This window comes from Homo sapiens, chromosome 14 (genome assembly GCF_000001405.40).
Source record: "Homo sapiens chromosome 14, GRCh38.p14 Primary Assembly".
Lineage (NCBI taxonomy): Eukaryota > Metazoa > Chordata > Mammalia > Primates > Hominidae > Homo > Homo sapiens.
In genome coordinates, this window is record NC_000014.9 from 20132498 (window position 1) to 20146902 (window position 14405).

Here is a 14405-nt window from a genome sequence, read left to right on the forward strand (position 1 = left end):
CACTTTTTTAATGAGGTTGTTTGGTTTTTGCTTGTTACGTTAAGTTTCTTATAGATTCTGGATATTATACCTTTGTCAAATGCATAGCTTGTGAATATTTTCTTCCATTCTGTAAGTTATTTGTTCTTGATATTTTCTTCTGCTGTAGAAGCTCTTTAGTTTAATTGGGTCTCACTTGCCAGTTTTTATTCTTATTGCAATTGCGTTGTGGATGTCATCATAAATTTTTCCTAAGATCAATGTCCAGAATAATATTTAATAGGTTTCCTTCTAGGATTGTAATAGTTTTAGGCCTTACATGTAAGTTTTTCCTTTATCTTGAGTTAATTTTTGTATATACTGAAAGGAAGGTGATGCGGTTTGACTGTGTCTCCACCCAAAACTCATCTTACGTTGTAGCTCCAATCAGAAATAGGAACGCTTTTACGCTGTTGGTGGGAGTGTAAATTAGTTCAACCATTGTGGAAGACAGTGTGATGATTCCTCAGGGATCTAGAACCAGAAATACTATTTGACCCAGCAATCCCATTACTGGGTATATACCCAAAGGATTACAAATCATTCTACTATAAAGACACATGTCCATGTATGTTTACTGCAGCACTATTTACAGTAACAAAGACTTGGAACCAACCCAAATGCCCATCAATGATAGACTGAAAGAAAATGTGGCACATATACACCATGGAATACCATGCAGCCATAAAAAGAATGAGTTCATGTCCTTTGCAGGGACATGGATGAAGCTGGAAACCATCATTCTCAGCAAACTAACACAAGAACAGAAAACCAAACACTGTATATTCTCACTCATAAGTGGGAGTTGAACAATGAGAATACATGGACACAGGGAGGGGAACATCACACACTGGGGCCTGTTGGGGGTTGGCAGGGAAGGGGAGAGAGAGCATTAGGACAAATGCCTAATTCATGCAGGGCTTAAAACATAGATGATGGGTTGATGAGTGCAGCAAACCACCGTGGCACTTGTATACCTGTGTAACAAACCTGCACATTCTGCACATGTATCCCAGAACTTAAAGTATAATAAATTTTAAAAAAAAACCTATAGAAAGCTTTTTTATGGGCCAGGCCTGGGAGCCTGGCCTGACTTCCCAGGCTCAGGTGATCCTCCTACCTCAGCCTACAAAGTAGCTGCACCACGGTGCCTGGTTAACTTTTTGTATTTTTAGTAGATATGAGGTTTAACCATGTTGCCCAGGCTAGACTCAAACTCCTGGGCTCAAGACATCCACCCAGCTCAGCCTCCCAAAGTGCTGGGATTACAAACATGAGGCACCGTGCCCGGCCCATAATAAATAAATAAATACATAAATACATAAATAAATAAATTGTAGCTCCCATCATTCCCATGTGTTAGAGGAGGGACTGGTGGAAGATAATTGAATCTTGGGGGTCGGTCTTTCCCATGCTTTTCTCATGATAGTGAATAAATCTCATGAGATCTGATGGTTTTATAAAGGAGAGTTCTCTTGTATACACTCTCTTGCCTGCTGCCATGTAAGACATGACTTTGCTCCTCTTTTGCCTTCTGCCATGATTGTGAAGCCTCGCAAGCCATGTGGAACTGAGTCAATTAAACCTCTTTTATTCATAAATTACCCAGCTTCAGGTATGTCTTTATTAGTAGAGTGAGAACAGACTAATACAGAAGGGGTCCAGTTTCAGTCTTCTGCAGATGGCTAGCCAGTTATCTCAGTACTGTTTGTTGAATAGGGAGTCCTCTTCCCACTGCTTGCTTTTGTCAACTTTGTCAAAAATCAGATGGTTGTATGTGTGAGGCTTTACTTCTGAGTTCTCTATCCTATTTCATTGGTCTATGTGTCTGTTTTTGCATAGTATCATGCCTTTTGGCTACTTTAGCCTTGTAGTATAGTAGTCAGGTAATGTGATGCCTCCAGCTTTGTTCTTTTTGCTTAGAATTGCTTTAGCTATTCAGGATCTTTTTTGTTCCATATCAATTTTAGGATTTTTTTCTAATTTTGTGTAGAATGGCATTGGTAATTTGATAGTAACAGCATTGAATCTGTACATTACTTTGAGCAGTATGACCATTTTAACAATATTGATTCTTCCAAACAATGAGCATGGAATGTTTTCCCAGTTGTTTCTGTAGGCTATGATTTCTTTCAATAGTGTTTTGTAGTTCCTTGTAGGGATATTTCACCTCCTTGGTTAGATATGCTTTTACATGTTGTTGGGTTGTGTGTGTGTGTGTGTGTGTGTGTGTGTGTGTGTGTGTGCAGAGCTATTGTAAATGAGATTGCATTCTTGATTTGTCTCTCAACCTGAATGTTAGTGCTGTATAGAAATGCTGCTGATTCTGGTATATTTATCATTTATCAGTCCTTGGAGCCTTTTAGTGGAGTTAGAGTTTTCTATGTTTAGTGTTATATAATCACCAAACAAAGGTAATTTGATATTTTATTTTTTTATTTGGATGTAATTTATTTCTTTCTCTTGCCTGATGGCTCTGGCTCAGTTTCCCAGCACTATGTTGAATAGGAATGATGAGAATAGACATCCTTGTCTTGTTCCATTTCTCAAGGGGAATGCTTCCAGCTTTTTCCCATTCAGTAAGATGTTGGCAGTGGGTATGACATAAATGGATCTTATTATTTTGAGGTATGTTCCTTCTATAAATGCCTAGTTTCTTGAGTGTTTTTCTCATGAACCAATGATGAACTGTATCAAAAGCTTTTTCTGTGTCATTAAGATGATTATACCATTTTTGTTTTTAATTCTGTTTATATGGTGAATCACAGTTATTGATTTGCCTATGTTGAACCCACCCTGCATCCCAAGAATATGCAAATAAGTATAGATGTTAGAGAACAGCCCATAGCTAGTCCTTTAATTTGTATTGCTGCCTCCAAATTAGCCAGTCAACCTGCCTGTAAAACAAAGATTCCCCCAATTCTCTAAGTTTTATCAATGTGATTTTAAATTTGGGTGGGTTTCTCCTCTACTTTTTTTTAAATTACTGATTACCATCTGTGTTCAATATCAGTAATTTACCATTAAATAAAATAAAATTTTTAATCAAACATCATGTTACACTATCAAGAACTGACTTGTCTGAAACACTGGAATCTATTTGGCACCTATTTGTGCCTTGTTTGCTATCCTGAGCAAAATATGACTGTTTGCTATTAGGTTTTGTAAACATTGATACAATTTATTTTTCAAAATAAACTAGTGATACTATTTCTTAAAGTACAAACTAAAATCTCATTTTACTAAAATTAATAACATGAAACATACAAAGAAGAAAATGAAAACCATCCCAGAGAAAGAGGTTTTCATTACCAGGATTTAGAGAGGTATTACCTATAAGGTTCTCACTGAGTAGCAATCTAGTTGCTGGAATGTCAACTCCACTGGCATGTCAAATCCCTGAGACCAAGGACCTTTAATAATCAGTCCCTAATTGCTTACCTATGTAGTAAGCTTTCCAAATGAAAAACACCCAAAACTTTTTGTAAAGTAAGGAAATACATTTTCAATTTTGTAGATGACAAAACATCATAGGACTGTCACTCATACATTTCTCCAGAAAATAATTAACTAGCATTTTTAAAATGGAAGTGGCACTGGGTCAAAACCTACAAATTTTTCAGGCAAGAAAATATAACTCAGTGGCTTTATGTCTGAGAAAACTGCCACTCAAATTAAAGGATTATAAACAAATATTTTTAATAGAATAGCTCAGCATGTATTTTTTTTCTAAAGAATCTCTTTGAATAAATTGAGAATAAACTAATTGTGGTAGGTGCAAAAAAAGTGGCCTCATTTCTACTTTTTAAAAATGCTTAACCATGCAAATATATTTCCTATGTGAAAATTAAATGTACCTTTAAAAAAGCATAGTTTTTTTCCAATCACCACCTTATCTTGTTTGGGTCTTCATAATGTTAATAAATTACACTTCCATACATAGCTATTTCATCTAAAATCTTAGGAGTTTTTAAGACATCGTGTCTATCAGCAAGTCTAAATGTCTCCACCATCAAAATACATGTCAAGTTCTCTGAATTCTTCTTACTACGGTCTCCTCCTCCCACTCTCCACCAGGCAAAGTTACCAACATCATCTTTTGTACTTGGTACTGCAACATCTTCAAACTGTTCTCCTTGCTCCTATACTTGCCTCCCTCAAACCCATTCTCCACACAATAGCCAGAACGACCTGAAGATTACAATTGTTGACATTATAATTACACACTGAGAATAACCTCCAAATGCCATGAGCTGGATAACATCTGCCTACCTCTCTAATGTTGCCTTATACTTTTCCTTCTTATGCTCACCATTTCCTCATCATGATGGTCTCCTTTCTGTGCCTTACTGTACCAGCTCAATCCTCTTCCACAGTCTCCATTCTCGTTCTTCACATTGCCTGAAATGCCCTACCCTAGTCATTCAAACCTCAGCTTAACTTTCAGCTCCTCAGGGATAACTTTTCTAACTACTCAATCTAAAATAACAGCACCACCCCCCGCCCTCATTCACCCTCCAACACATCCCTCTGTTATATTCTTTCATTCTCCCACATTTTACTGTCTTTTTTGTTGTTGTTGTTGTTCTTTGTCTGGCTCCCTCCACTGGAATGTCAAATCCCTGAGACCGAGGACCTTGTATATAATAACCAGTGCCTAATCACTTACCTATGTAATAAGTTTTCCAAATGATAAACACCTAAAACCTTTTGTAAAGTAAGGAAATATATTTTCAGTTTTTTAGATGACAAAACATCGGAGGAAGTTTTTGACATTTTCTCAAAAAACAGAACCATCATGGTTGGAACCAGGACTGCAAACTTGTCTTTTGAGCTCCAGTCTTGTGCTAGTTTCACCACATTTGGATGCCTTGTTTAGAAAGCTAGTTCAGGCCACTCTGAGATACATCTTTTAAAACACACAGACATTCACACAAACATACATCTTTCTTTTTAATAGTATAAAATTGCCTAAGATGAAAAAGCATTCTCAGCAGAGGGGAAAGGTCTATTTTGCACTAGTTAATATCTCAGTTAAAATATCTTCTTCTAACTAATTCTAAAGCATTGTTGTCAATATTGAGAAGTGACATCCCTGGGAAGTCCCTTAATTGCATAAAACAAAACTAAAGTGAAAAATAAAAAACAAAAACAAAACAAAATAATTTGCATTCTCAGAAATATCTTTACCACTCTATCTTTCTCTCTCCATCCATTCCCTTCTCTTATCCTGTCTTTTTTTTTTTCTAAACCTGTGTTTACGGCTTTGTGGTACAAGCATCTCTGTGGGCATTGTTTCTCTTTCTATCCATCTTTTCTCCTATTTTTTTGTGTATGCTTTTTCTCTTTTTTGCCTCTGTTCTCTCTCTTGCAATTATCTTGTATTTCTAACTTTGTATCTTTCTGGGACTGTATTATACTGCTATGCTTTCACCCAAGGAAAATGGTATATGTTAGAAGTTGCAGCACTGATCATAATAGGAAAGAAACCTGCTAAAATGTTATCTACCTCTCTTCATCTCTGTCCACTTTTAAACATCTCTGACTGCATCTCTGGCTGAGCTGGGCATAAACATGAATGAAAGCATACTTGACTGTGTATTGAATTTGCTTTATTAAATTTAAGTTTGGTATTTTAATTTTAATGTGACTCTGAGGAATGGCATCTTTCTTTATAATGTGTTACAAAAAAAACTTACATTGATTTTTTTCTTGTATGATTAGATATTTTTATGTTATATTATTTCATTAAAAACCAGAAAGCTCATTATCCTATAGCAGGGCTTAGGAACCATATATTCAAAAAAACCAATAATACAATAGAGTATTTCTTCTTTTACTTGAGGGGCACTCCCCTGGAGGAACTGGTCTACAAGATGCATAAAGTTCTTTTTATTTAAAGACAAACTTTGAAATGATAATAATTTAGATATACTGAGTTAAATGAAGCATTATTAACATTGAATTAATCATTAATCATTTTGCCTAATAAGTGTATGGGACATTCCATTATCACTGCCACTGATAAAATACCAAATTCAAAACCCTAACATGATTCAATGGGGTATTCACTGGCATGTGTTTTGAATATTTAATCTTTAAAATGTTCTTGTCTCTTTCTTTGTCTAATTCTAATTGGCAGTCTAATAATTCCCATTGGTAGAACTCTGCAGAATTCAGGTAGCGGTAAAACCCCAAAGTACATTCTCTATTGCATTAATTGTATTACAAATGAATAGAGATTTCAGAATTTATAATATTCCAACATGAGAATATATATTTAAGCACAAATTCTGAAATAATTAGCTAATCTCCCTTTTATCAGACAGAAAAGAATAGCCACTTGTTTGAGAGTAGCATTTGGCTCCCGGCAAGGTAAAATTTTTTATCATTCTTTATATTTAAATTAAATAGAGAAAAAGAAAAAAAAAGAAAAATTATACTATTTGTCTTGGTTATCTGCTGCCTTGAAATTTATGAGAACAGAATTCTGCTGCAGAAACAGAGTAAGGGTGAGTTGTAAATTCAGGTGTTCAGCACTTTTCTCAAATATACCTGTTTCTCAAATAAACCTCCTATTATCTAATACTTAGTACTATTTTAAAGGTGCTAAAATTTTTAATTCTACTATTGTTTTAAAAATAAAAATACCAATTGATTATGAAGATTCACCACCTGGATTTCAATTTGTATATAATACAAATGACTGATTTCATCTTTATCCTAAACCAAAGGTAAAGGGAGGAAGAGTGAAGGAATCACAATCAGTCAAAAAGGGCAGGCTGAGTCTCAGAGACAAACTTCATTGACTTCACAAGTTTGGAAACCTCTGGTTCCACACTCAGTTACATGTGTTTCCCCATCTGCACATGGTCCTTACATCCAGCAATATAAGGCTCAGAGTTAGCAATCCTAAAACAAGAAAGACATGATTCTCAAACATGTCTGAATTAGATAAGAAAACCTTTACTGAGACCCTTCCTAGAACCTCCACAGTTTCTTACTCTGAAATCCACTTAGATTCAAGCTGTTATCATATCCCTTGGAATTAATCCCAGGGCAGTGACAAAAGATCTATTGACATGGTATCCATTTTTTGCTAGAACGTATTTATCACTGAATGCTTCCTCTCTTCATTTACACAGATGTGGATTAGCTCCTAACCACCTAATTTGATCATCATATTCCCTCTACCCTGTGAAGTAAAAACAGCGAATATATTATTTCTCTTTAATAGATTCAAAATACAGATATTAAAAATTAAATGACTTGCCTAAGGTCATTAATTGTATTAAATAACTTGCCTAAGCTTCCTAAAATTGCAGATATGGTAACTCAGCAAGGTAAAATAATTCTCAAACCAGAGACCTATTTTAGAACACCAAAATAACTTGCCTCATTTTTATCAAGATGAGTTAAAAACAGACAAAACATGTGACAAAACCTGAAGTAATTAATGAGTGATTCAGACTCAGTAAATTTCAAAGAAGATAATATTCAGGAAGTAAGGCTTAGCACTGGGGAGCAAGGAAAGCACTTTAGGTCTGTAGAAAAAGTCATTGGAATGAAATACATAGGAAGCAACTAACTACTGTGCTCACTCTACCTTGGAACAGGTTAAGCAATTTATTATTTCAGAATCAGTAAAGGGTAGGCATTGAATATATTTAAGGAGAATATGTGTAAAGAACAAGGTGAAACTTACTTAAGACTGAAAGAATGTAGGCAAATGAGAGAAAGAAGAAAGAGAATGACAAGGAAGAGAGCAAAGAGGGAGGAAAAGCAAGGGATTAGGAAGATAAATTGCAAGAAAAAATTAAAAAGCAAGTAACAGGAAACAGAAGCTAAAAGAGAATGTAAAGAAATATTGTTGTAAATGAGTGTATGAAGACAGAATTAGCAGGAAGAGAATGGGGAAGGATGGGAAATAAGAAAGAAGCAAGATAAAGTGAATGAGGAAGGATAAGGGAGTGAGCTGCTAGGATGTTGATCAGGTCCCCAGACACTTGGCTTCAGGAGCTGGTCTGAAAACAGTCTGGAATTGAGATATGCACAGTGTTGCCTGCAGATGCTTACTGCTCTGCAGTCTGGAAGCTGTTGTGCGGGACAGTATGGGGACCCTCTCCACTTATGCATCTTCAGTGCCAAAGGAGTATGTATGTATGTACATATATGTATGTGTGTATATCTTTCTATCTATATCTATCTATCTATCTATACGTATATATATATCTGTTGAAATAATAAGGAAGGTTAGAGATGGTGACCATCATTTAGGTTTCTGTCTTGGCCTACACTGACAATGCCTCTTTGTCTTATCTGACTAGAACAAGAAGTTTGCCCCTGTGAGATCCATTGTTTGGTGCTTTTTTTTTTTCGGGAACTCATTTTGTACAGAGGAATGCCCATCTAATGCATATGTGTCCTCCATCTCTGTGACAAATACAATTTGAGAATCAACAGAACAAAAGGTACATAAATGAGGACAAAGGAAAGAAGAAAAGTGGATTAAAGATGTTGAGTAACATGGAATTTCATCTGTTAGTTAACAGAAAATAGACGGAAATAGTAGAAAATAAAAGCAAAGGAAGAGTGAGAGAGGCTGAAACTCTCAGGTGCTCCCTGTGTCTTGGAATCCTCAACCTGGAGAAGCATGAGATAACTAACTATAATTGAACATCTGGAATGAATAAAAGGTAGGACTAGGGGAGGGAGCTTCTGACTTAAGTTCTTAAGACCAGGTTTCTGTAGGCAGAGCAAGGTATAAATGTGGAAGCCAAGAGGTGTCTAAATGGGTAAAAAAGAAACAGAAATGCCTAAACTAATTTGAAGAACACCAAAATACTTTTTTCCTATTTCGGTTTTCTTAGATTCACTATGTGTGTGTTTATACAAGTGTGAATATGTATTTGGAATGCATAAATATGTACCCATGTGTTGTAAGTACTTATTCCATAGCATTTGCTGCTAGTTAACGAATGTTACTAGTCACATAAAACAAATGTTCTGATGTTTCCTAATAGTCGTGCTGTAAAATGCTAATATATTACCTACGTTTCCCCTGAATTTTCTTACGGATTTTTAAGGCTGATTTTTCTTTATTCTTTTTCTCCCTTCTCTCTTTCTAGTTCCTTTTTCTAGGGATGCCATTAGTAATTTCTGTCAAATTTCAATTAAGAATTTATCTCCTCCAGTCCTCCTCCCCTACATTCAGTAGCACTGCTTCAAAAAAAAAGTTATATTGAAATGTAATCAGCACATTATAAAATTCACCATTTAAAGTATACAAATTCAATGGTTTTAAGTATGTTTACAGAGTTTGTGCAAGCATCAACATGTTATAGCATGCATCAGTACTTCCTTTTTATTGTCACATTGCATGATATTGTATCCACAGCACTTTTGAAAATAAATATTGTATGTAGTCAAAAGTCAAGGGTAACATTTGTACATATCACATTATAGCATTTTGTTTTCATTAATAATATTTCATCTTTGAAATCATTCATTGCAATAGTGAAACATGCATGGTATCATCGTATGTGAGTATTTATTTATAAAACATTTTATAATAATCTCAACACGATCATTAAAATACAATCACAAATATATATATATATTTTTTTTTGAGATGGAGTCTCGCTCTGTTGCCCAGGCTGGAGTACAGTGGTGCGATCTCAGCTCACTGCAAGCTCCGCCTCCTGGGTTCACACCATTCTCCTGCCTCAGCCTCCTGAGTAGCTGGGACTACAAGCACCAGCCACCACACCCAGCTAATTTTGTTTTTGTATTTTTAGTAGAGATGGGGTTTCACCATGTTAGCCAGGATGGTCTCGATCTCCTGACCTTGTGATCTGCCCTCCTCGGTCTCCCAAAGTGCTGGGATTACAGGTGTGAACAAATACATTTTTAAAAACATAGCTTATAATAATATGCAGAGAAGTTCCATTATTTTTATGCATCCCAATGGATTATCTTGTGCACCTCCTTGGGTGAACACATCTAATTTTGGAGATTAGTATACAGACTAAACCTTAATTCCAGATTTCTCTGACATGAATAGAATACTTATTTAGACAAAGCTATGGCCAGAAAAGGGGGAATATTTAGACATGCAGCATCATATTTACTTAAGTGCCTAAATAAAATATTGCCAATTGATGAGACATAAATAATTCCCTAAAAAGTGTAAACTGAGGAATAAATACCTGCTTTCCTCTATCACTTGATAATGAGAGAAAAGAAAACTCATTGCAAGTTTAAAACTTCTCTGCAATTGCATTTTTTCAACTCTCAAATGAGTACATCAGATTATATGTTCTGTATGGCCAATTCCAGCTCTATTATATTTTAATTTTATTAGCCGAGATAGTCAAAATCTTTTACATATTCTGATAAATTTTGTATTATGCAAAAATGTTTGTGAAAAGAATATCATTTGGCTCTCACTCTGAGATCTGAAGAAGAAGTAGGTTATAGATATATAGAGAGCAGATGAAACTGAATTAGTATTAACTAGAACTTAAGAACAGGTTGTAGAGCAGATTCAGAGTGGTACTCAGCCAAGGCTTTAACTAGGGAATTCCTCTAAGTTAAGAGAAATATACAGATCTTGCTTGCTATCTTGGTGATCAGTTTGAAGTAAGAATACACAAGAGCACCAAAGCACAACAATGTGATGGGAATAAGCAAGGAACAAATTTAGAAACCAGTCATATAGGTAACAACCAGGAACCAAGAATTCCATAGGAACTGGTGGCAGAAGCAACTGTGAAAGCACTTTATTCTGTGACAGGAAGAAAGGGAACTAAAACCTAGCAACTAATCTAACATTTAGAGACAGTGGACCACCACTAACAGCAACAAAAACAAACAAAACAGACAAACTTGATCATGCTTAAGTTATGCTTTAATAAGACAACTTCTAATATTCTTCAAGCAAAGTAGCCTGGAATCCTACAGGAGTGAAGTTACCTAGAAGCCTGAGGTTAAATGGGCATGGAAATGTGGCTACCTAAAAACGTATTTTATTTTAGTGAGGAATAAAGAGGATGAAGAATAGAAGGGTTAACTCAGGATACAAGACATAAGTTGTCTTCAGCTACGGAACATTGGTTGGGACAAATAATGTTCTTATCTGGAGAGGAGATAGAAAACAGATGAAAAGGTGGTTATAACAGATAACAATTTGCCCTATTTTATTCTGCAGAGTGAGAAATTATGGAAACACAGAACCTCACAGTGGTGACAGAATTCATTCTTCTTGGTCTGACCCAGTCTCAAGATGCTCAACTTCTGGTCTTTGTGCTAGTCTTAATTTTCTACCTTATCATCCTCCCTGGAAATTTCCTCATCATTTTCACCATAAAGTCAGACCCTGGGCTCACAGCCCCCCTCTATTTCTTTCTGGGCAACTTGGCCTTACTGGATGCATCCTACTCCTTCATTGTGGTTCCCAGGATGTTGGTGGACTTCCTCTCTGAGAAGAAGGTAATCTCCTATAGAAGCTGCATCACTCAGCTCTTTTTCTTGCATTTTCTTGGAGCGGGAGAGATGTTCCTCCTCGTTGTGATGGCCTTTGACCGCTACATCGCCATCTGCCGGCCTTTACACTATTCAACCATCATGAACCCTAGAGCCTGCTATGCATTATCGTTGGTTCTGTGGCTTGGGGGCTTTATCCATTCCATTGTACAAGTAGCCCTTATCCTGCACTTGCCTTTCTGTGGCCCAAACCAGCTCGATAACTTCTTCTGTGATGTTCCACAGGTCATCAAGCTGGCCTGCACCAATACCTTTGTGGTGGAGCTTCTGATGGTCTCCAACAGTGGCCTGCTCAGCCTCCTGTGCTTCCTGGGCCTTCTGGCCTCCTATGCAGTCATCCTCTGTCGTATAAGGGAGCACTCCTCTGAAGGAAAGAGCAAGGCTATTTCCACATGCACCACCCATATTATCATTATATTTCTCATGTTTGGACCTGCTATTTTCATCTACACTTGCCCCTTCCAGGCTTTCCCAGCTGACAAGGTAGTTTCTCTTTTCCATACTGTCATCTTTCCTTTGATGAACCCTGTTATTTATACGCTTCGCAACCAGGAGGTGAAAGCTTCCATGAGGAAGTTGTTAAGTCAACATATGTTTTGCTGAATAGAAGAAAGAGAAAAGCAAGAACGGAGAAAGTCCAGTTGAATTTAGCTAAATCATTTCCTCATTCATGCATTGAATCAGTCAGTCATTTAGCAAGTATTATAATTATTAAGTACTTCCCATTTTCAGGCACTATTCCAGGCATATGAATGAGACAGGTAAGATTCCAGGTCTCCTAGATTTATATTCAAGGGGATAAATACAGGTTATTAGATTTATTCAAGGGGATAAATACAGTTTATTAAATTTGAAAAACAACTATAGTTTCAGAAAGAAACAGTGTTCTGTAGCAAGCAGAAAGTGGTATTATGCTAGAGATTAGCTGGGGAGGTGGTAATTACCTTACTTTTGGTTGTTAAGTGAGGCCTCAAGTGGTGTTTAGCTGAAACCAATATGATTCGAAAGAAACAACCATGCAAATATCTGGGGACAGAAATTCTAGGCAAAAAGGCTGACTAGTACAAGAATCCAAAGATCTTATGAGCTTGTTATATTTGATGACCATAAAAAGGAAGAGAACAGCTGTACTATATTTAGTGAATGTGAAAATGGCAAAAATTGAAGTCAAAGAATTTGGTAGGGGCAAAATTATGTAGAGCATTTTAGTCAATAAGAAGTTCAATTTATTCAGATTTCAAAAGGAGATTCTTGAAAGACAATAAGCAGGAGAGTAACTCTTTAATGTTTCCTATTTGACTTAAGGGAAGATCCTCAAGATTCTGATTACAGAACTATGAGTAGTAAAATATCATTAAGTGGAAAGTGCGTGCTGCTAAGTATTTTTTATTTATGTCAACACTTAAAAGGTCTAGTTACTTTTTCTAATTTGATAGAGAGAGAAAATTAAAACTGTTATATTTTATCAGAAACTGTGAAAAGACAATTTAGCTATATATTTCAAAGTTTTGCAGAGATTTCTGCTTATTCCTAATGGGTAATTTTTAAACATTAGATAAAAACTTGAGTTCACTTACAAATTATTTCACCCTGAATGCAATGATCAATAGTTATATGTAATACAAGTTATTATTTAGATAACTAAACCACTCTGATTATTTGAATAAGCATATATAAGGCATTAGATACTTACAAATCATTGAAGAACTATAAGACCAGGCTGTAGACCTGGCTTACTAAAATAAATTTCTAAACATTACCAATAAATTGGTCTATATAAGGAGTAACTGTCCCCACAGCGATTATGAATGTAGGGAACACAGAAATCATTTTTTAACTGCCAGTTCCACGATTACAGCATTTGAAGGCACAAAATACTCAGTATTGCTCTAGTCCTATTAGACACCCCTACACAAAATGGAAACCTTACATTTTGTAATCTCTATTACCACTTCCTTCATTTCATTTTTTAAATTTACTTTTAAAACTATTAGTATTATTATTAAAGCCTACATAACTCAGTGGTCTCTCATCCAAGTATTAACCAGACCCAATCCTGCTTAGCTTCTGAGATCAGACATGATCAGGCACATTCACTTCCTTCACTTCTAAATTTTAATCTTTCATAAGTGAATTAGAAGTCCTGAGAATATATCAGAGACTGATTTTAAACCTGGCAATCTACGAATGAGCCAGAGATTGACTGAGTCCTATGAAACCTGAAAATCAGCTTCAACTCCACAAAACCTTTATTTAAATTAAGGCGCGGCTTCTTAACTTCGGCACGATTGGCGTTTTGGACAAAATAATTATTTGTTGTAAGAGGCTGCCCCGTGCATTGTAGGTTGTTTAGTAGCATTCCTGACCTCTACTTACTAGGTGCCAGGAGCATTTTCTTAGTGTAACAACCAAAAATATTTCTACATATTGCCAAATGTTCCCTAAAAGGTAAATTTTTTTTTTAATTATACTTTAAGTTTTAGGGTACATGTGCACATTGTGCAGGTTAGTTACATATGTATACATGTGCCATGCTGGTGCGCTGCACCCACTAACTCGTCATCTAGCATTAGGTATATCTCCCAATGCTATCCCTCCCCCCTCCCCCCTCCCCACCACAGTCCCCAGAGTGTGATATTCCCCTTCCTGTGTCCATGTGATCTCATTGTTCAATTCCCACCTATGAGTGAGAATATGCGGTGTTTGGTTTTTTGTTCTTGCAATAGTTTACTGAGAATGATGGTAAATTTTTTACAATGAGAAACACAGCATTAAGGGGATTTACTTCTGTGTCCATCTTGTAATGAGGTGTGTGAACTTTCTTTGCAGGAAGTAACATGAAC

General features: G+C 36.0%; 1 protein-coding gene across 1 annotated transcript; it reads left to right on the top strand.

Annotated features, from left to right (window-relative positions):
- Nucleotides 1-6322: 6322 nt before the first annotated feature.
- On the top strand, nt 6323-12974 carry OR4N5 (olfactory receptor family 4 subfamily N member 5). The gene is made up of 3 exons (NM_001004724.2): nt 6323-6393; nt 8346-8714; nt 11228-12974. The coding sequence occupies exon 3, from the start codon at nt 11239-11241 to the stop codon at nt 12163-12165; it is 927 nt and encodes a 308-aa protein (NP_001004724.1). The 5' UTR covers nt 6323-6393; nt 8346-8714; nt 11228-11238; the 3' UTR covers nt 12166-12974.
- Nucleotides 12975-14405: the final 1431 nt, after the last annotated feature.

What these genes read in the sequence shown, in the direction of transcription:
- OR4N5 (NM_001004724.2), top strand. Translation starts at nt 11,239, where the DNA reads ATGGAAACACAGAACCTCACAGTGGTGACAGAATTCATTCTTCTTGGT.